We start from the raw sequence: 26315 nt of genomic DNA, 5'->3' as shown, positions 1-26315 counted from the left end.
GGCTCTACTTTCAGAAGAAAGTGTCTCTCTTCCTGCTTAAACCTCTGTCTCTGACGGTCCCTGCCAATCGCTCTGGTCGACCCCAACACACTAGGAGGACAGACACAGGCTCCAAACTCCACTAAGTGAGTACGTATCTGGTGTGTTGGGGGTTGGCCATGGGAAGTGGAGATCAAAGCGCCCTTGGAAGAAACGACCTTGGGCTGAGCCTCAAGGGATGACCAGCAGGAGGTCACAACCAGAGAAGGGAGGTGGTGGGTGGTGAGGGGGCGGGGGTGGGGGCCGCAGTGTGGACAGAATCTCGAGGCATTCGAGTCCCTGATTTGGGGAAGTGAAAGCAGGCCATCTGGTCTGAGATGAGCTTGGTGAGTGCGCTGGGCCGATCATAGAGGGCCCTGGGGAGCCATGGAAGACTCTAGGCAGAGGCAGGACCTCTTGGGTTAGAAGGACGGCCTGGAGTTGGGATCCTGCCACCCAGCACTTACCAGTAGACACCCCACCATGAGATTATGTCTCCAGATGATTGAGCAAATGGGCTCCCAGCTCAAGGGTCCCGGGTTTGAGTTCCAGTCCCACCACTGCGTGATGGGGACAAATGACTTACCCTCTTGGAACCTCAGTTCCACTGAGAGAGGCCCCACAGAATGAGGACAGTCCCCCAGCATCCTGCCAGTAGGTTTACTGAGCACCTACTGTGTGCTGGTGCTTTGAATACTCCCAATTTACAGATGAGCAAACTGAGCTGCTCATCCAGGAAGAAGCCAGGACTCGGACTCAGGTCTGTCCAGCTGCCTCCCTGGACAGTTCCAGTCCCAGGATGGTCTCTGGGTTCCTCTCACAATGTCAAAAGGGCCAGCTTGAGCTGCCGCTAATCAGAGCCTGGCCGCGCCACACCCCACCTCCCTGAGGCTCCGAGAGAAGGGACTTACCTATAGTCAAGCAGCGAAAGAAGGTAGCCCGTGACCTCCAGGCCTGAAGGACCCCAAGTCCCATGCTCCTCAGCACATAGTAGATGCTTTAAAGTCAGAGGACTTGGTCGGGCGCAGTGGCTCACGCCTGTAATCCTAGCACTTTGGGAGGCTGAGGAGGGCAGATCACCTGTGGTCAGGAGTTCGAGACCAGCCTGATCAATATGGTGAAACCCTGTCTCTACTAAAATACAAAAATTAGCCAGGTGTGGTGGTGGGTGCCTGTAGTCCCAGCTACTTGGGAGGCTAAGACAGGAGAATCGCTTGAACCCGGGAGGTGGAGGTTGCAGTGAGCCAAGATGGTGCCATTGCACTCTAGCCTGGGTGACAGAGCGAGACTCCATCTCAAAAAATAAAAAAATAGGCCATGCACAGTGGCTCACGCCTGTAATCCCAGCACTTTGGGAGGCCGAGGCGGGCGGATCATGAGGTCAGGAGTTTGAGACTAGCCTGGCCAACATAGTGAAAACCCGTCTCTACTAAAAATACAAAAATTATCTGGTCATGGTGGCACGTGCCTATAGTCCCAGCTACTCGGGAGGCTGAGGCGGGAGAATCGCTTGAACCCAGGAGGTGGAGGTGGCAGTGAGCCGAGATCGTGCCCCTGCACTCCAGCCTGGGCAACAGAGCGAGACTCCATTTCAATAAATAAATAAATAAATAAATAAAGTCAGAGCACTTTACAGATGCCCTGGGGACATTGGCAGAGGAGAAGGCTGAGGCCTGGGTTATGGGCTCTTAGCATTTCTCAGTGGGACGTGGCACAGAGTAGATGTTTCATAAATGTTTAGAATCCGAAGACCCACTGTGCGCAGCCCGGCACCAAAAACCTCAGGTATGCTGTGATCTCATTGGATCCTATCTTGGCCTCATGAGTTGGGTGCTGTCATCAGCCCATTTTACAGAGGGGAAAACTGAGGCTGAGAATGGTTGAATCCTTGGCTGAGGTCACACAGGCAAGGCAATTATAATAAACGCTGGTGATATTTTTAGCACAGATCACCAACCAACAGTATAGGTGTTCTTGGTATCATCATTTTACGAATGAGGAAAGAAGTTTCCAGGTTAATTAAGCCATTTGTCAAGATCTCATGGGTGCACCTGCTGTGTAGCTCAAGTGTGATGGGCTCTGGAGTGCCCCACTTCTGATCTCAGGCTGCTATCTCTCCACACCAGCTGTGTCTCCCTGCTAACCACGCTAGTGAGTCCAGATTGTAGACTAAACAAAATCAGCAAATGGCCCCTGAGTGCCACCAAGTCCCAGATGCTATCCTGTGCTGGTAACTAGGATTTGATGGCTCACCCTAACCATCATTAAATCCCAAATCAGCCAGAGCTGTGATTGTGCCCGCTGAGTGGACTGCGTTGTCAGGGAGTGAGTGCTCCATCATCGGGAGAATCCAAGCAGGACCGCCATGGAGGAAGGTCAATATTCAGGTAGGAGGACTCTCTGGTTCTAACGTTGGCAGAAGCAATGACCCTTAGCTACTGCCTTTCACCCAGAAGAGAAGCGGGGCTCCCCAGTCCCTCTCTGGGAAAGAGGGTGAATTTCTAAGAAAGGGACTGGTGTGAGTAAGGAGGTGAGGCCGGACTGACTTTCCTGGCACAGAGCCAGGAAGGAGTGGCAAATTGAGGGCCCCTCCTTTTTCTGATTCAACACCCTCCTGACAAAAAAAGAAAAAGAAAAAAAAAAAAAAACGGCTTCAGCTAGGGAGCGGGGAGCCCAATAGAGTCAGAGGCCAAATAGAACAGGAACTTGGAACAAGCAGAATTTAGCATAATGAATCCTCCAAGCCAGGGTGAGTGCAGAGGGCCAGGGGCTTGAGGTGGGACATCCAGATAGACCTTTGGGTGGGGTCTGGGAGAGGTTTGGAGGTCTGGATGTTGGATGACACCTGGGAAAGTGGCTGGGGAGTGGCTCCGATGTTGGGGAAGAACTGGGACTCAGTGTCCTGGGTTTAGGGAAGGGACTCCAGGTTGGGGACAGGTGCAGAGGTGTAAGGGTGGGCGTTGGGGCTCAGAGGGGAAGGAAAAAGCAGGACCTAGTCTTCTGGAAGTGAAGCTGGGGGCCTGGCATTGGTTGTTGGGGCTGAGGGAGTCTTAGCTCTTAGTCCCAGATCTGTCTCTGTGGTCAGTGACCCAGCCCTGAGTCAGGTAAGGAAGCTGTGCAAATGGAGCTGGGGGTCCACTGAGACCCTTTGCTTCAGTGTGGGCTCTGGACAAGCTCCCAGGCTGTCGGGGGCTCTGGGTAATGGAGAGACGGACAGGGCCAGCATCCAGCTTCACCCTGCACCCATAGTCAGTCCCTCCACCCCCGGCAGAGATCGAGGAGCTTCCCAGGAGGCGGTGTTGCAGGCGTGGGACTCAGATCGTGCTGCTGGGGCTGGTGACCGCCGCTCTGTGGGCTGGGCTGCTGACTCTGCTTCTCCTGTGGCGTGAGGACACCCCCAGCTCCATGTGGTCCCCCCAACTCATGGGGCCCTTCTGTGTTCCCTCCTTCACCCCCATCTCAGAGCTGGGGGAGCCCAACGCATCCTCTCAAAACCCAATTTTCCCATCCTGCCTCCCATCTTGCCACTGCCAGCCCTTTCCCATCCCCCACCCTCCAGAGCCCCTCACCCCACACCCAGCATCCCTGTCCTCCACACTTTCAGCACCTCCATGGCTTATACCCAAGACCTCCATCCCCAGCTGGGAGGTGGGGTGCAGGCAGGTGGGGGCACTGACAATCCCCCCTCTCCACTCCTCTTCTCTCCCCCTCCCCAGACTGGGACACCACACAGAGTCTAAAACAGCTGGAAGAGAGGGCTGCCCGGAACGGTATGAAGGGGTCAAGGTGGAGGGGGTGGGGGTGAGGGTTAGGATGCCCAGCACTCATCCCGCTCCTCTCTGGGCCTCAGTGTCCCCTCGCTAAGGAACTGAAGGTCAAACTAAGTTGCTCCCTGTCCTAGGGAAGGCGGGGACCCAGGGAAGCTTGGAAAAGTGCCTGATAGCATCCTAATACAGATGCTCTTCCGCTTGCAATGGGGTTATGTCCCCATAAGCGCAAAGTACGTTGAAAATAGTTTAAGTCAAAACTGTGTGGCTGGCTGAAGGCTTTGGCTCCCTACCACTGCCCAGCATTGCAAGAGAGTTAAGGTTTCCACTAAACGCATATTGGTTTCAGACCATTGTAAAGTCGAGCCATTGTAACTCGAGCTATTGTAAGTTGAGCCATTGTAAGTTGGCAGCCTTAAGCATCTGTAGTGTAAGGATTTTGTAACTGCTTTGTGCCTCCATTTCCTCATCTGTAAAATGGGCATACTTTTAGTGCCGTGAGACAGAAACAAGCTCTAAGATTTGTGAAGTACCCTGATAGTCGCCTACTGCTTTTATAGTTAACCCTGGGTGAGGGAGAGGTACACAGTAGTTCATTATATTCTTGCATATACCTTCCTGAGTACACTCCTCCTGCTCCAGTAAATGAACAAACAGCAACAGCAGCTGTTGTGACTATGTGAGAGGGTCCCTGAGCCTGGGGCATAGGCGGGGTCCAAGGACCTGCCTTTGAGGTTCCTGGGATATCTCTTCTCTCCCGCCGCTCCAGTCTCTCAAGTTTCCAAGAACTTGGAAAGCCACCACGGTGACCAGATGGCGCAGAAATCCCAGTGTGAGTGACTCCTGGAGTTGGGGTTGCAGGGGAAAAAGCGAGGGGGTCTTGGATGACTTCCTGGACCCAGAGCATTAAGACTCACTGTGCCCCACCCCCGACACCCGGGAACTGCAAACTGAGCAGGTGGTTCCAAGAACCCAGGCAAAGAGACCAAGGGATGGGTGGGGGTAGATGGGGGAGACAATGAGGACCTGCTTACCATGAAGCCCCCTCCCCTGCAAACAGCCACGCAGATTTCACAGGAACTGGAGGAACTTCGAGCTGAACAGCAGAGATTGAAATCTCAGGGTGAGAGACTGGGATCGGGGTTATGAAGCCAGATTGGGTGGGAAGGAGGGAGTGTCTCAGAGCCCTGGGGAACCACGAGGCTGGGGGGCCAGGCTTGGGGGGCACCCTCGGCCTGTACACATCCTCCCTGAGACCAGCCCTGCGCTCCTGCACACACCAGACTTGGAGCTGTCCTGGAACCTGAACGGGCTTCAAGCAGATCTGAGCAGCTTCAAGTCCCAGGGTGAGGCTTGGGAGGGGATGGGGCAGTGGGGGAGGGAACGGACAAGGAGGGGGCCTGCCAGTTGGTCTCTGAGCACCGCCCCTTGTTGACTCCCCAAGAATTGAACGAGAGGAACGAAGCTTCAGATTTGCTGGAAAGACTCCGGGAGGAGGTGACAAAGCTAAGGATGGAGTTGCAGGTGTCCAGCGGTGAGTGTGTGAGTCTCTGCTCAGGACGACGCGTGACCTCACCTGGGGCTCGGGCGTGTTGGCAAATGTGACGGCACGCACGTGTGACGTGAGGCAGCATGTCTATACGTTTGTGTGACCCGAGTGTCATCGGGAGGACACAAAGATATAAGCGCAGGGTGGGGAGTGTGCTTGGATGCGAGGCAGAGGTGTGCGTGATGACGGAAATAGGACTAAGTTTCTGATGGGGCAGGACACACAGAGCATACATAAAACACCGCTTATTTTATTTTTTAAGAGAAGGGGTCTTGGCCAGGCGCGGTGGCTCACACCTGTAATCCCAGCACTTTGAGAGGCCGAGGCGGGTGGATCACCTGAGGTCAGGAGTTCGAGACCAGCCTGACCAACATGGTGAAACCCCGTCTCCACTAAAAATACAAAAATTAGCTGGACGCGGTGGCTCACGCTTGTAATCCCAGCACTTAGGGAGGTCGAGGCGGATAGATTATGTGAGGTCAGGAGTTCGAGACCAGTCTGACCAACATGATGAAACCCCCATCTCTACTAAAACTACAAAAATTAGCTGGGTGTAGTGGTGCGTGCCTGTAGTCCCAGCTACTCGGGAGGCTGAGACAGGACAATTGCTTGAACCCGGGAGGTGGAGGTTGCAGTGAGCCAAGATCACGCCACTGCACTCCAGCCTGGCGACAGAGCGAGACTCCATCTCAATAAAAATTTTAAAAAATTAACCGGGTGTGGTGGCGGGCATACGTAATCCTAGCTACTTGGGAGGCTGAGGCACAAGAATCACTTGAACCCGGGAGGCAGAGGTTGCAGTGAGCCGAGATCATGCTGTCTTCGCACCACTGCATTCCAGGGCAACAGAGCGAGACTCTGTCTCAAAAAAAAAAAAAAAAAAAAAAAAGAGAGAGATGGAGTCTTACTCTTTTGCCCAGGCTGAAATGCAGTGGTGCAATCATAGCTTACTGCAGCCTCCAACTCCTGGGCTCAAGAGATCCTCCCACCTCAGCTTCCAGAGTAGCTGAGACTACGAGTGTGTGCCACCACGCCAGGCTAATTTTTTATTTTCCTGTAGCCACAGTGTCTCACTTTGTTACCCAGGTTGGTCTTGAACTCCTGGACTCCAGCGATCATTCCGCCTCAGTCTCCCAAAGTGCTGGGATTACAGGCATAAGTCATTGCACCTGGCCCTAGCTAATTTTTTTATTTTTTGTAGCGACAGGATCTCGCTATGTTGCCCAGGCTGGTCCTGAACTCCTGGGCTCCAGCAATCCTCTCGCCTCGGCCTCCCAAAATGCTGAGATTACAGGCATGAGCCATCTTGCCTGGCAATTTCTTTCTGATTCCAACTGTGTCCTTTCACAGATTTGGAGACTCCTACAATTTTTTTCCTCTTCTGCGTTAAAGCAGTCCAGTGTTGACCCTCGCTGGGTTCTCCTTGCTGGTGTCCTCTGCCTGATGTGGCCCAGTGAGGAGTTATTAGTAGGATTCTCATACACATAGCCTTCCTGGTAGATTGTCTGACCAGGGCAGGGAGCCAGACGGGGGTAATGTCTGCAGTGATGGGACAATGGAGATGGTGGCCTCTTTCCCAGGGGTGGCAGTAATGGAGGCAGTGTTGACCTCAGGAGGCTAGCAGGCTGCAGAGAGAGCAGACATTCAGTCACTGTACCCTTAATGTGGGGTAGGGACCAGGTGCACTGGCTCACGCCTATAGTCCCAGCACTTTGGGAGGCCGAGGCAGGAGGATCACTTGAGTCCAGGAGTTTGAGACCAGCCTAGGCAACACAGCAAGATCCTGCCTCAACAAAAACATGAAAAAATTAGCCAGATGTGGTGATGTGTACCTGTAGTCTCATCTACTCCGGAGGCTGAGGTGGGAGGATCACCTGAGCCCAGGAGTTTGAGGCTGCGGTGAGCTAGGATTGAGCCACTGCACTCCAGCCTGGGCAACAGAGTGGGACCTTGCCTCTGAAGAAAAAAAAAATTACTGTACGGTAGGAACTGGGGTTTTACAGCCCTGCCGTTCCGCCAGCTAATGCCCCCACCCTTGATTTTTGGTCTTTGACCTCTGGGAAGCCCCAGCTGCCCTAACTGGGGCAGAGAAGAGGAAGTTTCTGTGCTTGGTGTGATGGAGTCCCATCCCCTGGGATGTGAAGTGGCTTTGGGAATCCCAGCCAGAAACCTCAGTGTGGTCCCTCAGGGAGAGGCACAGGGGAAGAGCACTCTGGACCATGACAACTTCTGACAGGTCACCTCCTAATTCTTCCCCAGTCCCTGAAGTCTCCCCGAAATCCAGCCCCACAGCCTGGGATCTGAGCCTGGCTCTGAGGTTGTCTCTGGGTGACTATGTAACAAACAACCAAGACACCTTCCCCTGAAGTTTTCTTTGAGGGCTCAGAAATGTCCTCTTCCTGGTTTTGGGGTTTGGGTTTTTGTCGTTGTTGTTTTTGTTGTTCAGAGACAGGGCCTGGTTCTGTCACCAAGGCTGGAGTGCAGTGGCACAATCATGGCTCACTACGGCCTCAAACTCCTGGGGTCAAGTGATCCTCTCATCTTGGCCTCCCAAATCGCTAGGATTACAAGTATGAGCCACTGCACCTGGCCACCTCTTCCTGTTTTAACGCTGCACCTCCAGAGGGCTGAGTACTGGTTACCATTTCATGGGTGAGAAGCACACTCATCTCAAGCTACTGCAGACCCTAAGCTCCTTAGAAAAATCTGACCATGTGAGGGTGGGCGTGGTGGCTCACGCCTGTAATCCCAGCATTTTGGGAGGCCGAGGCAGGAGGATCACTTGAGCCCAGGAGTTCGAGACTGGCCTGGGCAAGATGATGAGACCCTGCCTCTTTAAAAAAAAAAAAAAAAAAATCTGTGGCTGGGCATGGTGGCTCATGCCTGTAATCCCAGCACTTTGGGAGGCCGAGGCAGGTGGATCACATGAGGTCAGGAGATCGAGACCAGCCTGACCAACATGGTGAAACCCCGTCTCTACTAAAAATATAAAAATTAGCTGGGCATGGTGGTGCACGCCTGTAATCCCAGCTACTTGGGAGGCTAAGGCAGGAGAATTGCTTGAACCCGGGAGGTGCAGGTTGCAGTGAGCCGAGATAGCGCCACTGTACTCTGGCCTGGGAGACAGAGCAAGACTCTGTCTCAAAACAAAACAAAACAAAACAAAAAACATCTGACCACGTGTAGTGGAACCTTCCCTGCATATCACTATAGGAAAACCTACTTACTTAAAGCGGGTTTTTGCTATGTTGCCCAGGCTGGTCTCAAACTCCTGGGCTCAAGCGATCCTCCTGCCTCAGCCTCCCAAGTAGCTGGGATTACAGGTGCACACCACTGCTGAAAATCTATTTTGAAGCAAGAAAGATTTGATCCAGTAAGAGTGGGTTTAACCTTCCACCTGGGAGGCGATAGCAACAATGTCTGGGAGTTTCACTGCGGTGGGGGGAAGGGGAGAAAGAGACCATATTGAGGGATTGTGGGACCTAGTCTTGCAATCCCATTGGCTCTCCTGACCAAAGCCTCCCACTGGAAGAAAATCATCACAATTTCCCAGACATTGGCTAGGAGTGCTGGTTTGGCGGGTTCTGCCAGTGATGATGACCAGGGCTGTTGGTAGGGATGGTGCTTGGGGAAAGTAATCGCTGGTGGACCTGGCCACAGCACTGGTTTTGCTGTCGGTGCCAGTGATGAAGACACGGCTGGTGTGGTTGGTAAAGATGGTGTTGGCTGTGGTGTGGGTGGTGGAGATAAGCTGCTGCTGGTGGTGGGTACCTCTGTTAATGATGTCGGTGATGAAGGTGTTGCTGACCTTGGAGGGGTTTGTTGGTGGTTGAAGTGCTGCTGGCCATGAGGTGTTTGTCATGATGGGGTTGGTGGCTGAGGCACTGTTGGCTATGAGGTGTTTGTGGTGATGATGGTGGTTGAAGTGTTATTGGATATGAAGGTGTTTGTGGTGACAGTGATGGCCGCTGACGTGCTGCTGGTCATGGTGTTGGTGATTGAAGTATTGCTGGCCATGGATGTATTTATGGTAATGGTGTCAGCAGTTGAAGCATTGATGGTCAAGAATGTATTTATAATAACGGTGTTGGTGGTTGAGCTGCTTCTGGCCATGAGGTGTTTGTGGTGACATTGGCGTCAGCTGAGGTGTTGCTAACCACGAAGTGCTGATGGCGATGGTGTTAGTGACTGGCGTTCTGCTGGCTGTAAGGTGTTTGTGGTGACAGTGTTAGGGGTTTACGTGTTGTTGGGCATGAATGTGTTCATGGTGCTGGTGTTGGTAGTTGATGTGTTATTGGATGTGAATGTGCTCGTGCTGATGGTGTTGGTGGTTGATGTGTTGATGGACGTGAATGTGTTCGTGGCGCTGGTGTTGGTAATTGATGTGTTGTTAGACATGAATGTGTTTGTGGCAAAGGTGTTGGTGGTTGATGTGTTGTTGGGCATGAATGTGCTCGTGGTGATGGTGTTGGTAGTTGATGTGTTGTTGGACGTGAATGTATTCGTGCTGATGGTGTTGGTGGTTGATGTGTTGATGGACGTGAATGTGTTCATGACAGTGGTGTTGGTAGTTGATTTGTTGTTGGACATGAATGTGCTCGTGGTGATGGTGTTGGTAGTTGATGTGTTGTTGGACGTGAATGTATTCGTGCTGATGGTGTTGGTGGTTGATGTGTTGATGGACGTGAATGTGTTCATGACAATGGTGTTGGTAGTTGATGTGTTGTTGGACATGAATGTGCTCGTGGTGATGGTGTTGGTAGTTGATGTGTTGTTGGACGTGAATGTATTCGTGCTGATGGTGTTGGTGGTTGATGTGTTGATGGACGTGAATGTGAATGTGTGACAATGGTGTTGGTAGTTGATGTGTTGTTGGACATGAATGTATTTGTGGTGATAGTGCTGGTGGTTGAGGTGCTTCTAGTTGGGAGGTGTTTGTGGTGACAGTGTTTGCAGTTGCAGTGTTGCTGGCTGTGGAACTGGCAATGTAGTCATGGTGTTGGTGACTGAGGTGTTGCTGGCCATGGGTGTATTTATGATGATGTAATGGTGGTTGAGGAGTTGTTTGTGGAGATGATGTTGGTGACTGATATTCAGCTGCCTGTAAGGCATTTGTGATGATGGTGTTGGTGGCATTTTTGGCCATGAGGTATTTGTGGTGCTGGTGTTGGTGGTTGAAGTGCTGCTGGCATGAGGTGTTTGAGGTGATGAGGGTGGTGAAAGTGCTGTTGGTGATGGTGCTTGTGGCTGAGGTGCTGCTGGCTGTGGAACTGGTGATGTGGGTGATAATGTTGGTGATTGAAGTGTTGCTAGCCATGGATGGATTTATGGTGATGTTGGTGGCTATTGAGGCACTTCTATGAGCTGTCGATGGCGATGGTGTTGGTGATTGATGCTCTGCTCGCTGTGAAGCATTTGTGATGATGGGATTTGTGGCTGAGGTGCTGCTGGCTGTGGAGCCGGTGATGTGGTCATGGCTTTGGTGACTGAAGAGTTCCCAAGCCGTGGTGGATTTAAGGTGATTATAATGACAACTGAAGTGCTTCTGGCCATGGTGGTGCTTGTAGCGATGATGCTGGTGGTTGAAGTGTTGTTGGACATGAATGCATTTCTGGTCATGGTGTTGACGGTTGAGGGGCTTCTACCTGTGGGGTGTCTGTGGTTATGACGATGGTTGAAATATTATTGGACATGAGTGTGTTTGTGGTCATGGTGTTGATGGTTGAGGGGCCTCTAGCTGTGAGGTGTCTGTGGTGATAATGGTGGTTGAAGCGTTGTTGGACGTGAATGCATTTGTGGTCATGGTGCTGGTGGTTGAGGGACCTCTAGCCGTGAGGTGTCTGTGGTGATGGTGGTTGAAGTGTTGTTGGACATGAGTGTGTTTGTGGTCATGGTGTTGACCATATTGGACATGAATGTGTGGTGGCAGTGTTGGTGCTTGTGGTGCTTCTGGCCATGAGGTGTTTGTGGAGATGCTGATGGTAGTTGAGGTGTTGATGGTCGACACCGTGCTCTGCTAACCATGAAGGTGTTTGTGGCCATGGTGGCTGAGGTGCTTCTACTATGGATCTGGTCAGCATCATAGCTCCAGCAGAGAACACAGCCCGTGAGGCTGTCTGTTAGGCCCTGGGGTGGGTCTGCTTTTAGCCGGGACCCCAGGAGTGGCCCTAGGAGGGGTGCTGCCACCTAGTCTGCCCAGGGTGCCCAAGGCACTTCCATTGGCCCCACCCCCGAGCCTCTCCTCCACCCCAGGCTTTGTGTGCAACACGTGCCCTGAAAAGTGGATCAATTTCCAACGGAAGTGCTACTACTTCGGCAAGGGCACCAAGCAGTGGGTCCACGCCCGGTATGCCTGTGACGACATGGAAGGGCAGCTGGTCAGCATCCACAGCCCGGAGGAGCAGGTGGGCTGGGGCTCTGCAGAGGTGGTGGGCAGCATGGCGAGGGTGGGGGGACCCCCACCCCACTCTACCCAACCTCTCGAAGTGGGCTGGAAGGCCCCGGGCACATGTCTCCAGTCCTCCAGCCCTGTCCTGTCCCCCAGGACTTCCTGACCAAGCATGCCAGCCACACCGGCTCCTGGATTGGCCTTCGGAACTTGGACCTGAAGGGGGAGTTTATCTGGGTGGATGGGAGCCACGTGGACTACAGGTGAGGAGGGGGCCTCTGGGATCCAGGGGAGGAGATGGAAATACCGTGGAGGGAGGAGCTCCCTAGATAAACTGCATCGGAAAGCGGATGAGGGCTCAGAGATAAGGGTCTCTAGGGTGCAGGGGAGAAGGACGCCAGTGGGGGCTGGGGGACCTGGCCAAGGCTTCTCTGACCTGGAGGAGGGGATATAGAGGAAGGGGCTCAGGGAGGAAGTTCCATGCACAGATTAGAAGGGTGAGTCTTGGCCGGGCAGGGTGGCTCGTGCCTGTCATCCCAGCGCTGTAGGAGGCCGAGGTGGGTGGATCACCTGCCAGGAGTTTAAGACCATCCTGGTCAACATGGCGAAACCCCTCTCTACTAAAAATACAGAAATTAGCCAGTCATGATGGCGGGCGCCTGTAATCCCAGCTATTTGAGAGGCTGAGGTGGGAGAATCACTTGAACCCAGGAGGCGGAGGTTGCAGTGAGCTGAGATCGCGCACTGCACTCCAGCCTGGGCGACAGAGTGATTCTGTCTCAACAAAATAAATAAATAAACAAACAAACAAATAAATAAGGGTGAGTCTTGGGCTGCAGGGTATGGGGCACCAAAATGAGGTACCGGTCCCCAGGCACAGACTCAGGATGGGGAACCTGGGGTGAGAAGGGAGGGTGCAGACTCAGAGGGCTGCCGGGAACTGGGCTCCTTCTCCCCGCCCCATCCCCTGACCCAAAGCCTTTTGCTCCAGCAACTGGGCTCCAGGGGAGCCCACCAGCCGGAGCCAGGGCGAGGACTGCGTGATGATGCGGGGCTCCGGTCGCTGGAACGACGCCTTCTGCGACCGTAAGCTGGGCGCCTGGGTGTGCGACCGGCTGGCCACATGCACGCCGCCAGCCAGCGAAGGTTCCGCGGAGTCCATGGGACCTGATTCAAGACCAGACCCTGACGGCCGCCTGCCCACCCCCTCTGCCCCTCTCCACTCTTGAGCATGGATACAGCCAGGCCCAGAGCAAGACCCTGAAGACCCCCAACCACGGCCTAAAAGCCTCTTTGTGGCTGAAAGGTCCCTGTGACATTTTCTGCCACCCAAACGGAGGCAGCTGACACATCTCCCGCTCCTCTATGGCCCCTGCCTTCCCAGGAGTACACCCCAACAGCACCCTCTCCAGATGGGAGTGCCCCCAACAGCACCCTCTCCAGATGAGAGTACACCCCAACAGCACCCTCTCCAGATGAGAGTACACCCCAACAGCACCCTCTCCAGATGAGAGTACACCCCAACAGCACCCTCTCCAGATGCAGCCCCATCTCCTCAGCACCCCAGGACCTGAGTATCCCCAGCTCAGGTGGTGAGTCCTCCTGTCCAGCCTGCATCAATAAAATGGGGCAGTGATGGCCTCCCACATTTGTCCCCTTCTTGGAGGCCTGGCTGGGTCTGGTCTCTGGGTGTGGCACATGGGAGCTGGGAATTCCAGAGTCTGATGCCTGAGACCACCTTTGAAAGTTGGGACATCAGATCTTTGGCCGGGTGTGGTGGCCCATGCCTGTAATTCCAGCACTTTGGGAAGTCAAGGCAGGCGAATCATCTGAGGTCAGGAGTTCAAGACCAGCCTGGCCAACATGGCAAAACCCCGTCTCTATTAAAAATACAAAAATTCAGCCGGGCACGGTGGCTCACGCCTGTAATCCCAGCACTTTGGGAGGCCAAGGCAGGCGGATCACAAGGTCAGGAGATCGAGACCATCCTGGCTAACACGGTGAAACTCCGTCTCTACTAAAAATACAAAAAATTAGCCGGGCGTGGCGGCGTGTGCCTGTAGTCCCAGCTGCTGGGGAGGCTGAGGCAGGAGAATGGCGTGAACCCGGGAGGTGGAGCTTGCAGTGAGCCGAGATTGCGCCACTGCACTCCAGCCTGGGCGACAGAGCGAGACTCCATCTCAAAAAAAAAAAAAAAACAAAAACACAAAAATTCGCTGGGCGTGGTGGTGCACACCCGTAATCCTAGCTACTCAGGAGGCTGAGGCAGGAGAAGTGCTTGAACCTGGGAGGTGGAGGTTGCAATGATCTGAGATCACGCCACTGTGACAGAGCGAGACCCCAACTAAATAAATTTAAAAAGAAAGAAAGAAAATTGGGAGCAAGCAGATGTGGTGGCTCATGCCTGTAATCCCAGCACTTTGGGAGGCTGAATTGAGCCGATCACTTGAGACCAGGAGTTCGAGACCAGCCTGGCCAACATAGTGAAACCCCGTCTCTACTAAAAAAAAAATACAAAAATTAGCCAGGCACGGTGGCATGTGCCTATAATCCCAGCTACTCGGGAGGCTGAGGCAGGAGAATCACTTGAACCTGGGAGGCAGAGGTTGCAGTGAGCCAGGATCGTGCTACTGCACTCCAGCCTGGGTAACAGAGTGAGATTGCATGTCAAAAAAAAAAAAAAGAAGAAAAAAGAAACAAATTGAGGAGCAACTGAAGTAGAATTCGATCTCCCGTTTTTATTTTTTCCTGCTCTATGACACGGAGAATGTGCAGGACATGAAGCCTCTGAGGTCCAATGGCCCCTTGGAATACTGTAGGGGAAGGCGGTGGATCACCCTGAGGCCGGGAGGGCGTGAGTTGACTCATGGAAGTACCCAGAGCAGGGCTTAGTACACAGAAGGCACTCAGTAAGTGCTGGCTGGCTGGACAGGCTGATGGGGAGTGGGCCCGGTCAACCGGAGGCCATTTCGGGTCTGGAGGTGTTAACCCTACTCAGGGTCTGGGAGGCTGAGGTGGCACCAGCCTCACGCTCGGCCAAGGTCGACCCATGCCGGAGGCCACGGGAGGGAGGCCAGGAGCACAGGGTCCCCTCTCCACACTCCTCTACCAGTGGCTCAGGCCAACACTGGGGTCATTGCACCTCTTCCCTTTCCCCTGACAACACCTCCAGGTCCAAGACCATAAGAAATGCCAGTGGGCTCTGCTGTCAAACGGCGCTCACAATCACTCACTGCTCACCCCTTCTGCCACTGCCTCGACTGGAGCAGTCACCTCCGCCCGGGGCTCTCTCTTCACTGCCCCCTTTCCAGAAGTTTCCTCCAGCTCAGATAAAAGGCCAAAGCCAGCTGCGCACAGTGGCTCATGCCTGTCATCCCAGCGCTTTGGGAGGCTGAGGTGGGAGGACTGCTTGAGTTCAGGAGTTTGAGGCCAGCCTGGGCAACATAGTGAGGCCCCATCTCTACAAAAAATACAAAAACTAGAGGTGTAGTGATGGGCAACTTGGTCCCAGCTGCTTGGGAGGCCGAGGTGGGAGGATTGTGCCCCTGCTCTCAGCCTGGGCGACAGTGAGAACCTGTCTCAAAAAAAAAGAAGAAGAAAAGAGAAAAAGCCAGCCAGGTGCGGTGGCTCACGCCTGTAATCCTAGCACTTTGGGAGGCCAAGGCGGGCAGATCACTTGAGGTCAGGAGTTCCAGACCAGCCTGGCCAACATGGTGAAACCCCGTCTCCACTAAAAATACAAAAATTAGCTGGGTGTGGTGGCGGATGCCTATAGTCCCAACTATTCAGGAGGCTGAAGCAGGAGAATTGCTTGAACCCAGGAGGCTGAGATCTGAGATCGCACCACTGCACTCCAGCCTGGGCGACAGAGTGAGACTCCATCTCTAAATAATAATAATAATAATAATTAATCTGTGTGACCATGGGCACATGACTTCTTTTGGAACCTGCCTGTGAAATGAGCTGATGCTGCTTGCCCAGCTCACCAAGGGCTGGTGCCTGGCTCCTCCTCCTCCTCTTCCTCTCACCCACCCACCTGGAGGGTCCAGGGGAAGACCTTCCTTGCAGCCCAGAGCACCGTAAGTTAGAGCTGCTGTGATCAGAAGCTGCCGAACCACAGGCTCTTCTTTCTCTTCATCCTCCCTTGCCCCAACCCCGGGCCCAGCCTCATAACCCTACAGCTTGTTCAAACGTTTTCCCTTCTCCTCAAGCCCCCTAACTCACCCTCGGTGGCCGGTGGGGATGGGGCGTGGGAACAGACCCTGGGCCCTGCACTCCCAGCTTACAAATTCCCGCAGCCCCTCTTCCTCCCTCCCGATTTCTCTGACATCCCTCACAGCCCCGCCTCTGGACAGAAGAATGGCCCCTGCCCTGGCCGGCCCTGGAAGCCCCTCTCGCCAGGGTCTCAGAGGACCTGCCTGGGGCTGCTTAGCCCAAAGCGTCCTGCATTTTGCTCTGAAATCCAGCTTCTCAGACACCATGTTCCCCTCCCTCCGTCCCCCATCCAGGACTGTGGTTTCTGTGTCTGTGCAGACGCCCAGACCTCCCTCCAGAACTCCAGACCCCAAACCCCAAGACCTGTGCATCTGCTGGCCCCCTAGACGCCTCCCCCTCATTCCAGATTCAGGCTATCATCCTGCCCAAGCCCTCTCCCGGCGCCTCCCTCCACCTCCAACAGCCAACAGCTATTCCAGGATCAGCCCTGGGGCTATGTGTGGTGGTTGCTCAATGGTTTCATTCATCCTAGAGACGCCACCTTCTCCCCAGTGTGCTGAAGCCCACCCTGCTCAATGCCTCTTGCTAGGATGGCTGAGACTGCCCTGACCAAGCCCTCAGCCCTGGTCCACCAGGCAGTCCAACAGAGCATCCTAAACAAATCTAGAGGTGACACCGACCCCTTTGGCCCTTCTCATAACCAGTGAGGGGAGCCCAGCTGACAGTCCCTGCAGTTCCTTTTCTGAACAGACCTGTCTGTTCACATTCTGGGGGGCGGTGGAAAGGAAGCAGGGAAGATTGGATCATGGTTCCCCCAAAAAATCTGGAAGAACTTTCCTTGGGGGAGAGGAGGAGTTATCAGGAACCAAGTGTGGTGAACAAAAAGGGAAAGGAAAATTGCCTGAGGTGTAATACATTACTTTTTTTTTCTTTTTTAAGACAGGGTCTCACTCTGTTGCTCAGGCTGGAGTGCCAGTGGTGTGATCTTGGCTCACTTCAACCTCCGCCTCCCAGGTTTAAGTGATCCTCCTGCCTTAGCCTCCCAAGTAGCTGGGATTACAGGTGCCTGCCACCACGCCCAGCTAATTTTTGTATTTTTAGTAAAGATGGGTTTTGCCATGTTGACCAGGTTGGTCTCAAACTTCCGGCCTCAAGTGATCTGCCCACCTCGGCCTCTCAAAGTGCTGGGATTACAGACATAAGTCGCCACGCCTGGCCTTATTTCAAATTCTTTTAGACAAGGTCTCACTATGTTGCCCAGGCTGGACACCAACCCCTGGCCTCAAGCGATCCTTCTGCCTCGGCCTCCTGAATAGCTGGGACTCCAGGTGTGCACCACTGCACCCCACTTATTTTAAAATTTTTTTAACAAGGGAAATGTGTTTGTATCATCCTGGACTTTAAAATTAACTTTAAAGTATTGACCAGACTGGCCAACACAGTGAAACCTCATCTCTACTAAAAATACAAAAAATTAGGTAGCTGGGACTACAGGAATGCACCTCCATGCCCAGCTAATTTTTGTATTTTTAGTAGAGACAGGGTTTCACCATATTGGCCAGGCTGGCTCGAACTCCTGACCTCGTGATCCGCCTGCCTCGGCCTCCCAAAGTGCTGGGATTATAGGCGTGAGCCACCGCGCCTGACCTTTTTGTTTTTTAGATGGAGTTTCGCTCTTGTTGCCCAGGCTGGAGTGCAATGGTGCAATCTCGGCTCACTGCAACCTCCACCTCCCGGGTTGGAGCGATTCTCCTGCCTCAGCCTCCCAAGTAGCTGGGATTACAGGCATGTGCCACCACACCCGGCTAATGTTTTCTATTTTTAGTAGAGACGGGGTTTTGCCATGTTAGCCAGGCTGGTCTCGAACTCCTGACTTCAGGTGATCCACCTGCCTCAGCCTCCCAAAGTGCTGGGATTACAGGCGTGAGCCACCGCACGTGGCCCCTCCTGGTGATTCTGATACCCTAAAGCCTGCATCTCAATCTAAGGTCCCCAGGAATCCCCTGGGGGCCTCGCTAAAATGCACCCTCAGATTCAGCAGCTCTGGGGTGGGCCTGAGACTGCATTATGGACCAACTCCCAGTTGATGCTGCTACTGCTGATCTACAGAACACACTTTGATTTGGCTCACGCCTGTAACCCCAGCACTTACGGAGGCCAAGGTGGAAGGATTGCTTGAGGCCAAGAGTTTGAGACCAGCCTGGGCAACCTAATAAGAGCCCCCATCTCTACAAAAATTTTTTAAAAATTAGCTGGGCATGGCTGGGCGCCATGGCTCACGCCTGTAATCCCAGCACTTTGGGAAGCCGAGGTGGGCAGATCACGAGGTGAGGAGATCGAGACCATCCTGGCTAACATGGTGAAACCCCGTCTCTACTAAAAATACGAAAAATTAGCCAGGTGTGGTGGTGGGCACCTGTAGTTCCAGCTACTCGGGAGGCTGGGGCAGGAGAATGACATGAACCCGGGAGGCGGAGCTTGCAGTGAGCCGAAGCCGAGATGCTGCCACTGCACTCCAGCCTGGGCGACAGAACAAAACCCTGTCTCTGAAAAATATAATAAATGAGGGAAGAAGGCAAACAATCTCCCTCTGCCTGTTTTCTAGGCACACGGTGACACCCACTCCTTTACATGTTGTCTGTGGTTGCATTCAGTACATCAGCGGAGTAATGGGGCAAGAGCACATGGCGGCACAGCAGTGGCTCACGCCTGTAATCCCAGCACTTTGGGAGGCTGAAGTGGGCGGATCACCTGAGATGAGGAGTTCGAGACCAGCCTGACCAACATGGTGAAACCCCATCTCTACTAAAAATACAAAAATTAGCCGGGTGTGGTGGGAGGCACCTGTAATCCCAGCTACTTGGGAAGCTGAGGCAGGAGAATCACGTGAACCCAAGGTGGAGGTTTGCAGTGAGGTGAGATGGTGCCACTGCACTCCAGCCTGGGCGACAGAGCAAGACTCTATCTCAACAAATAAAAAAAATAATAATAAAGACCACATGGCATAAAATATTGCCCATCTGGCACTTTGCGCAGTTTGCCCACCCCCAGTCTAAAGGCGTCTGTCTCAGCCTGATGCGTCTCCCAGGACCCCATGCCCCCTCCAGCCTGCAGACAGCCTCCAACCGTGATTCCAGAACCTGCCAGCATTTCCCACCAACTCCTTTTGCCGGGTTTATTTCTCCCCACCACTCCTGGTCTCACTCAACCCCCCAACCCTATGGCCAGACCCGCCCCCACTCTACTGTAAACACATTCGGACCTGGCCTCCCTCCCCAGCCTGGGGCAGGGCTGTGGCTCAAGGTACTGAGTGGATCTAAGGCCGCCACACAAGACACAAGACACACGTGGGGAGGGGCTCTCTGTATCCTTTATCTCCGGCAGGGTCAGCGGCCCTCCAGGGCCCGGTCTCGAGCGATGACTGCCTCCTCGAACTTGATCATGAGCGTGGTGCCCTTGTGCCAGTGCGCCGTGACCTTGGCAGGGAAGCCGCTGTGTGTGAGCACCGCCTCCACGATGCCCGCCGTGAAGCTGGCGCAGTTGAGCGTGCTGTTCTCCTTGGGCACGGAGATGTAGGTGTTGATGAGCGGCTCGCGCTCGATGATGTAGAAGGTGCGCGCGTCATCGTTGGCCTGCTCCAGCTTGTCCGCCTCCTTGCCGAAGAGCGCCTTCCACACGGCGCCCTTGACGAAGAGCAACGCGCCTAGCACCTTGGTCTCACGCCGGGCACCCTTTTCGCGCGCCACCAGCGCATCCAGCACGCGCGCGCCCACCTGGCGGCCCAGCGCGGCCAGGCGCGACTGCAGCTCGGCCACGGAGAAGACGCGGCTCTGGCAGTGCTGTACCAGCTCGGAGAACAGCAGTGCGAAGGCGCTCAGGCTCACCTCGGTGCGCGGCCGCGCCAGCGCGCGCTCCAGCAGCGCCGACTTCCCGCGCGTGAAGCGCGCCTCCATGCCGCCGCCACCCTGCGGGGAGACCAGGAAGTGCAGGTGTCAGGGGCAATGGGAAGGGGAGCAGGCCGGGAGGAAAGGAGGGAGAACCGCGAGGGGCCCTGGGACACCCTCGACCCATGCCACTGTTGTGTGCTCCAGTGCCGACTTCCCACTTGCAAAGAGATGCGCGTAAAACACGCCTCGATTACACGTAACCAGATAAATCAAGGGAGGGGGGAGTCTTATACCCTCGGCAGGCAGCGGGCTAGCGGGAGTGGGGACAAGGTGGGAGGAGAGACACGAGGGGGAACAGAAGAGGAGGCCGAAACCACCCAACCCTCGGGCATGCAGACGGTTCAATTGCGAAAGCGCCTTCCTGCCCGCTCCGCCACCTACAGGAGTAACTAGAAAACTAGTGTATGGGGGGAGGGGCGTCAGATCTAGGGCAGGGAGGTGACAAAGATGAGGCACCACGAGGGGATATGGGCAGTCGCTCCTGCCCCGCCCTGCGCTCCAGCACAGACGACCCTCGGGAACTTTCCTGCCGGCCCCCTGCGGAAAGCCAGAGTAAAGGGGGTGGAGGGTGGGAGTGGGGTAGGAGCGTGTCAAGACCAAAAGCCAGGAGGGTTGGGGGCTTTAACAGGGGGGATCCGTGGGGCCAGGCAGGAGGGGCGGGTAACCCCCAACCCCAAGCCCTCAGGCAGGCAGCTCCGATGTGTCACGCAGGAACCCTTCGTCCTTTGAGACGCGGATGGGCCTGGGTTCTGAAGGCTGGGAGGAGGGGCCCAGAGGTGTTGGGAGCCTCCCACCCCCGTGCTCTCCAGAAAGGAAGCTGGATGCTGAGCAACTGTGGTCCTCCCATCAGCTGTCGGTGCGGGGAGAGGGAGATGGGGTAGGGGGCTCCTGAAGAGAAATGGGGTGGGGAGCGGGCGCCGAGACGGGATCGGAGGGGCAGCTGAGAACCCGCCCCCACCATGCATGGGGAGGTGTGTGGATGCTAAGCCGACCCCAACGAGGTCTGCGTGGGAGGTGGGAGAACCAGCGGGGAGGGGTGTCCCAGGGGCTCCGGGCCGCCCCCGCCCCAGCATGCAGATCCGTCCGTGGCGAGGGCCCTGGGCGCGCGAGATGGGAGAGGGATCGTTAAGACCCCACCACCGGGCTGCGATGGGGGCTGAAGTGAGCTGAACTGCCGTAGGGTCAGGGCCCCGCGACCCTCGCCCCGTACCTCTACACTGGGGAGAAACCCACCCTCCTCGCAGCCTCCTGAGGGGGGCCGAAGCGAGCGGGCTCGGGATCGCGGACGCCGAGACCCCAGCCCGGGACCCACACGCCCGCGGGGAAGGGGCCGGGGAGCGGACGAGGCCCGGCGCGGGCAGGGGGGTGGGTAGGGTCTCACCAGGAACCGCAGCAGTCTGCTCGGCCGAGCTGCTTTACGGCGCCGTAAAAGGCGCTGCGTGCGCAGGCGCTCGACGGGCCAGGCGTGTGGGCGGGGCGCGCGCAGCGGTGCCTGAGAGCGGCCGCAGGGGGGCGCGCGAGTCCGCGGAGCCGGACCCAGGGACGTGGCCCACGGCCGTGATGGCTGCTCCGCGCGTGGCCAGGGTCTCGCTGGCTCTGGGTGGCCCACGCTGGAGGGGACGCTTGCAGGCCTAGTCACCTGCTCAGGGCGCACGTATGACAATGGGCCAATGTATACCCTTGCACATGGACACACCTGTTGGCTTTTCCAGGCACTCCTATGTCCTTGGGGATGGGTTCAATTGTCTCAAGTGCATCCATGTGGCCCGCGGTGGCTCCCGCCTGTAACCCCAGCATTTTCGGAGGCGGAGGTGGGAGAATCACTTGAGGCCAGGAGTTTGAGACCAGCCTGGACAACATAGCTAGACTCCCACTTCTTTAAAAAAAATTAGCCAGGTGTGGTGGTGTGAACCTGTAATCCCATCTACTCGGGAGGCGGAGGCAAGAGGATCGCCTGAGCCCAGGAGGTCGAGGCTGCAATGAGTCATGATCGTACCACTGCCCTCCAGCCTGGGTGATAGAGCGAGACCCTGTCTCAAAAAAACAAAAACAAACAACAACAACAACAAATCAAGTGCATGCATGAGCGGTGGACATAGTACCTTAGGGTCATGTACACTCATGGATACATGCTCAATGGCATAGATACACTCACGGGCACAATTACACACGTGGGTACACGCTTAGGGCTTGTATATATCCGTGGTCCCAGGTACACTCAGGGAGATGTTGTATGCTCAGGGGCACCCACTCTGGGACACAGGGAAGACACAGGGAATGAGTTACTCATTCACAGATGCACAGGTACTCACGCAGGGCACTCAGTCTCGCCCACCCTGGTGCCCCGGGGTCATTGTCACGTGCAGACTCTCCCTCTCCCCAGGTCCCAAAACCCCTCCCCTTGCCCCAGTAACAGGTCCCATAGCGACGCTGTTTTCCCTTGACTTTATTTATCTTCATAAGTCACAAAATGTGAGTGCAGAGATAAATGTCTGTGTGCATGTGCCCTGAGCACACAGGGTGGCATAACTCGGCACACTCATAATGACACAGCCGTTCACCCAGCCACAGATAGTGACAGGGCACACATGGCGACACCCACATGTACGGAGATAAATCTCCCCCACCATGACATGGGTAGACAGAAAACACGCCGCAGTATACTCTAGTATGTTTACACAAACAGGGAGACAGGCCCGTGCAATGCATGTCACCAACACCCACACTCAGAGTGACATCTGCTGGAGGTGCTCAGACACAGCCACCCACCGTGACATGCCGAGACTCACATATGTCACATGACACAGGCATGCATGCCACATTCACTGTGACTCTCAGTCCTATTCATTCATCACCTTTCTGGGAGATACACTGAAATGTCCACCCTTTGCAAAATGCACACACACGCGCACGCACACACGCACATACACGAACACACGCGCACACACGCACACACACGCACGCAGGTGTACACACACACGAGCAACTCCGAGACACTCATTCACCATGACTCGAGGTTTTTCTATACGTGGGACGAGGGGCAGGTTCACACTAGGCTGGGGGGGGGGGGTCATTTCCCGTCTTCGTTGGCAGGTGCAGCCCCATCTTCCAAGTTGTGGCTTTGGCTGCCACAATGTCCTCTCATTTATTGAGGTGAGGACTCTGGGGATGGGGAGAGACCCACAGTGAGGCAGATCCCGCCCCTGGGAGAGGAGCTGGGGCTAAATCTGAAGCCCCACCCACCCTCCTCCACCTCCTGTCGGGGCGCCAACTTACGTGGCATTTTCTGCAGCACCTCCAAGATTTTCTGTACCTTTGTGTCAATGTTTTTTATGCCTAGGGGGCGGGGAGGGTTGGGTGGGAACAGATAAGTCAAGCTGCGGTGGAGCCTCAAACAAAGCCCCCACCTTCCTTGGAAGCACCCCCCCTGCCCCACACCCACCCTGGGGTACAGCAGAGCCCATGGATTTGGGGTTCCCAGGAGCCTTTCAATACCCACAGAGCAACCCAGATGGTAACACCCATCGCCCCTCCACAACTTGAGCTTTGGGAGGGTAGGACCCCGGCTTTCTCCTCCCCTGAATCCCCTGCCCCCAGCTCAGCTCCGGGCATTGGTGACAAATAACCCCCATAGAAGGCGAGACTACACAGGCACCTGCTAATGTCGTCTCTAATCTATCAATCTTGCTCCTGACCATGGTGATGCTCTGCTGAACGGAATCCCAGCCTCTCTTCTGTCTCTCTTCGCATGCTTGTACGGAGTTTGAGACTGAGGGCATGAAACAGGGGTGTCTGTGCATCCATCCCTCTCCAGACCCCCACCATGACCCCACGGGTCTCCCTCAGACCCTCCGCTCACCATTCCAAAGCTCCCTTTTAAAGCCCAGCAGCTCCTTGGACATCTCAGCATCTGTTCAGGAGGGGCAGGAAAATCCTTGAAGCACCCAGGGAGAGAGAGAGAGAAGGACAAGGGAGAAAGTCTAGGCCCCCCAGCACCCTCCTCCCAAGAAGTACTCACTCTTCACCATGATGAAGGCTGACAGGATGATGCAGAGGACAAAGGCCAGGGCCAGGAGGATGTACAGGCTCAGGATGGCTCTGTACAACCAGCAGGGGACCTGGGTGGAGTCTGAGGGCGGCCTGCACTGGGCTGGGACTGGAGCAAAGAGGCAGCAAAGTGACCTTGAGGGGCCAGCACCACCACTCAAACCATCCTCACTGTCTCTAACACCATGGACACCTCGCTCCTCTCAAAACCATCAGCAGCTGTGGTCATGCAGCTTGTCATCATCGTCAACAACACTGCCACCACCAGCCACCCTCAGCGATCTAACACCGTCACCATCACAGACCCCCTCTCCAGCATTCCCCAACATTGTCATCATCAACAGACCTCATTAGCACGTCAACAGCTGTCACCTCTTCCTTCCCCATCGCTTCCTCCCTTCCACGCAGCCCCGGGGGCCCTGCAGTTGCCCGCCCACCTGCCCCTTCCCAAGGTGATGGGATGTGAGCAGGTGGGTGTCTGCTCACCTTGGCTCGTGGGTCGTGAATGACCACCCTTTGCATGGTCCTGATTTTTGAAGGCCAAGGTGATATTCTCATAGTCTGGGTCATGGGCACCTGGGAGGGGTTGGAGATCTGCTCAGAGCTCTGTGGTGTGGAGAGTGGATCCGGGATCTTGTTTTACCCAACCCTTTGCACTCAATAAATTGTAGGGGGTGAAAGATAAGGAGTGAGAAGCTAAAATCTGCTTTTTGGTTAAGTGGAGCGGGTGTGTGAGAGTTTGAGTGATCACACCACACACACATCCACACACACATCCACACATCTTGGAGGGGAAGGAGCCCCCGGCCCCCACCTTTGACCCCTTACCTCTCCCATCTGAACTCTCCTTCTTTTTTTATTTTTATTTTTTACAGACAGAGTCTCCCTATGTTGCCCAGGCCAGTCTCCACCTCCAGGGCTCACGCAATCCTCCCGCCTCAGCCTCCCAAAGTGCTAGGATTACAGACATGAGCAAAAGCCCCCGGCCCCCCAATCTCTCCTTCTTAACCCCTCCCTTCCACCTCGAGTTCCCTAACCTTGATTCTTGGCTGAGACCCCCTGTTTCTTGTCCCTGAAGGCTGGTGCTTGCATCTTGACTTCCTGGTGCTTGTAGATTTCCTCCACTTCCATGGTCCCCAGCCCGCAAATTTGTCCATACACGTCCCCGCCCACCGGAAGGTGTGGGCAGATGAGGAAATCTGGAGGTGGGGGGAAGAAAGAGGGGGAGCAGCCTCCTCTTTTCAGGGATCCACGACTCTCGCACCCTGGGGCACCCTCATTCCTGCCCCGATCAAGAGGCTCTTGGGAGCCAAGAGGTCTCAGGAAGGACCAAGAAGAAAAACCTCTAGACCGGGAGATGGAATTCGACACTCGGAAATGTTACAGGAAGCTGTGGTCTCTGTGTGTGTCTGTGTCTACCTGGATGGACCTCACCCTCCTACCTCCTCTCCATTTCAAAAGAGAAGCTGTGACACCTCAGTGTCCCAACTTTTCGCGTAAGAGCAACCAGGCTTGGAGACAGGACCCCTGGGTCCCCCCACACCTTCCTCCCTCCAGCCTCAGCTCCACCCCTCAGCTCCACCCCCAAGAAGTTCTTCTACTTCTACAAGTCCCCGTGGAGGAAAAGCACAGATGTGAGGCAACGGGAACTAACCACTGGAACGCCACACCCACATCTGGGACTGAGGACAGACCCACATCCTTCCCTCCCTCCCCAAATCCCCTGCTTTTATACAACCCTGGAGGAGGCTGGGTGCGGTGGCTCACGCCTGTAATCCCAGCACTCTGGGAGGCTGAGGTGGGTGGATCATCTGAGGTCAGGAGTTTGAAACCAGCCTGGCTAACATGGTGAAACCCCGTCTCTACTAAAAATACAAAAATTAGCTGGGCGTGGTGGCGAGCGCCTGTAATCCTAGCTACTCAGGAGGCTGAGGCAGGAGAATCGCTTAAACCTGGGAGGCGGAGGCTGCAGTGAGCGGAGATCACACCATTGCACTCCAGAATGGGTGACAAGAGGGAAACTCTGTCTCAAAAAAGAACCCTGGAGGAACAGTTTCCTCTGCACCTGGAAACTCCAGGTTTCTCATTCTCATCCATCCATCTGCTTATCTACCCAGATACTCTCTCTCACACATGTACACACACAGGTCTGCACACGGACACACATCACAAACTCATTTGCATACTATTTGCATTGTGACACTCAGAAAAATAGACACAAGCATGCGTTCACATGCCCGCACTCTGTCTAGAAGGTGTCTTAGTTCACTTTGTGTTTATCTGATCTTGAAAACTGGGGTTACAAAAGGCACAAAGTAGCTGGGTATGGTGGCTCGCTCTGTAGTCCCAGCTACCCAGGAGGCTGAGGTAGGAGGATCATTTGA

The 26315-nt window shown here is 54.9% G+C and overlaps 3 protein-coding genes across 8 annotated transcripts, besides 9 other annotated features; 1 reads left to right on the top strand and 2 right to left on the bottom strand.

The window, feature by feature from the left end:
• Positions 13–13368, top strand: FCER2 (Fc epsilon receptor II). 4 transcript variants are annotated; one of them, XM_005272462.5, is made up of 11 exons: positions 13–125; positions 2303–2405; positions 3290–3403; positions 3735–3788; positions 4555–4617; positions 4846–4908; positions 5069–5131; positions 5230–5319; positions 11587–11738; positions 11879–11985; positions 12714–13368. In XM_005272462.5, exons 2-11 carry the CDS (start codon positions 2384–2386, stop codon positions 12949–12951), a joined length of 966 nt encoding a protein of 321 aa, XP_005272519.1. In that variant the 5' UTR covers positions 13–125; positions 2303–2383; the 3' UTR covers positions 12952–13368. The 4 variants fall into 4 exon arrangements, with proteins under 4 accessions (XP_005272519.1, NP_001993.2, NP_001207429.1 ...); NM_002002.5 differs by having other exon boundaries at positions 2299–2405; NM_001220500.2 differs by having other exon boundaries at positions 13–129; positions 2299–2405.
• Positions 17–126: an enhancer, noted in NCBI's record as "active region_13897". NCBI's record gives its function as "activates an Ori minimal core promoter by ATAC-STARR-seq in GM12878 lymphoblastoid cells {active_cell/tissue: GM12878}" and the evidence as "EXISTENCE:reporter gene assay evidence [ECO:0000049][PMID:35858748]".
• Positions 2230–2299: an enhancer, noted in NCBI's record as "active region_13896". NCBI's record gives its function as "activates an Ori minimal core promoter by ATAC-STARR-seq in GM12878 lymphoblastoid cells {active_cell/tissue: GM12878}" and the evidence as "EXISTENCE:reporter gene assay evidence [ECO:0000049][PMID:35858748]".
• Positions 10727–10776: an enhancer, noted in NCBI's record as "active region_13895". NCBI's record gives its function as "activates an Ori minimal core promoter by ATAC-STARR-seq in GM12878 lymphoblastoid cells {active_cell/tissue: GM12878}" and the evidence as "EXISTENCE:reporter gene assay evidence [ECO:0000049][PMID:35858748]".
• Positions 11167–11226: an enhancer, noted in NCBI's record as "active region_13894". NCBI's record gives its function as "activates an Ori minimal core promoter by ATAC-STARR-seq in GM12878 lymphoblastoid cells {active_cell/tissue: GM12878}" and the evidence as "EXISTENCE:reporter gene assay evidence [ECO:0000049][PMID:35858748]".
• Positions 14154–14313: an enhancer, noted in NCBI's record as "active region_13893". NCBI's record gives its function as "activates an Ori minimal core promoter by ATAC-STARR-seq in GM12878 lymphoblastoid cells {active_cell/tissue: GM12878}" and the evidence as "EXISTENCE:reporter gene assay evidence [ECO:0000049][PMID:35858748]".
• Positions 14441–21311, bottom strand: TRAPPC5 (trafficking protein particle complex subunit 5). 3 transcript variants are annotated; one of them, NM_174894.3, is made up of 2 exons: positions 21095–21311; positions 14441–19902 (listed from the first exon to the last, which is right to left on the bottom strand). In NM_174894.3, exon 2 carries the CDS (start codon positions 19888–19890, stop codon positions 19324–19326), a length of 567 nt encoding a protein of 188 aa, NP_777554.1. In that variant the 5' UTR covers positions 19891–19902; positions 21095–21311; the 3' UTR covers positions 14441–19323. The 3 variants fall into 3 exon arrangements, with proteins under 3 accessions (NP_777554.1, NP_001035926.1, NP_001035927.1); NM_001042461.3 differs by having other exon boundaries at positions 21118–21311; NM_001042462.2 differs by having other exon boundaries at positions 21266–21311.
• Positions 17053–17235: a silencer, noted in NCBI's record as "fragment chr19:7749795-7749977 (GRCh37/hg19 assembly coordinates)". NCBI's record gives its function as "represses an EF-1alpha promoter that drives an FKBP-Casp9 reporter gene in an ReSE screen in K562 erythroleukemia cells {active_cell/tissue: K562}" and the evidence as "EXISTENCE:reporter gene assay evidence [ECO:0000049][PMID:32094911]".
• Positions 19787–20081: a silencer, noted in NCBI's record as "tiled region #435; HepG2 Repressive non-DNase unmatched - State 4:PromP". NCBI's record gives its function as "represses a minimal TATA promoter and a strong SV40 promoter by Sharpr-MPRA in HepG2 cells {active_cell/tissue: HepG2}" and the evidence as "EXISTENCE:reporter gene assay evidence [ECO:0000049][PMID:27701403]".
• Positions 21047–21606: a silencer, noted in NCBI's record as "silent region_9990". NCBI's record gives its function as "represses an Ori minimal core promoter by ATAC-STARR-seq in GM12878 lymphoblastoid cells {active_cell/tissue: GM12878}" and the evidence as "EXISTENCE:reporter gene assay evidence [ECO:0000049][PMID:35858748]".
• Positions 22315–25054, bottom strand: MCEMP1 (mast cell expressed membrane protein 1). The gene is made up of 7 exons (NM_174918.3): positions 24969–25054; positions 24418–24507; positions 23903–24040; positions 23744–23794; positions 23540–23653; positions 23161–23220; positions 22315–23046 (listed from the first exon to the last, which is right to left on the bottom strand). Exons 1-7 carry the CDS (start codon positions 25021–25023, stop codon positions 23030–23032), a joined length of 525 nt encoding a protein of 174 aa, NP_777578.3. The 5' UTR covers positions 25024–25054; the 3' UTR covers positions 22315–23029.
• Positions 24018–24087: an enhancer, noted in NCBI's record as "active region_13892". NCBI's record gives its function as "activates an Ori minimal core promoter by ATAC-STARR-seq in GM12878 lymphoblastoid cells {active_cell/tissue: GM12878}" and the evidence as "EXISTENCE:reporter gene assay evidence [ECO:0000049][PMID:35858748]".

This window comes from Homo sapiens, chromosome 19 (genome assembly GCF_000001405.40).
Source record: "Homo sapiens chromosome 19, GRCh38.p14 Primary Assembly".
In the NCBI taxonomy this organism is placed as follows: domain Eukaryota; kingdom Metazoa; phylum Chordata; class Mammalia; order Primates; family Hominidae; genus Homo; species Homo sapiens.
This window is presented reverse-complemented; position numbering and strand designations above follow the sequence as displayed.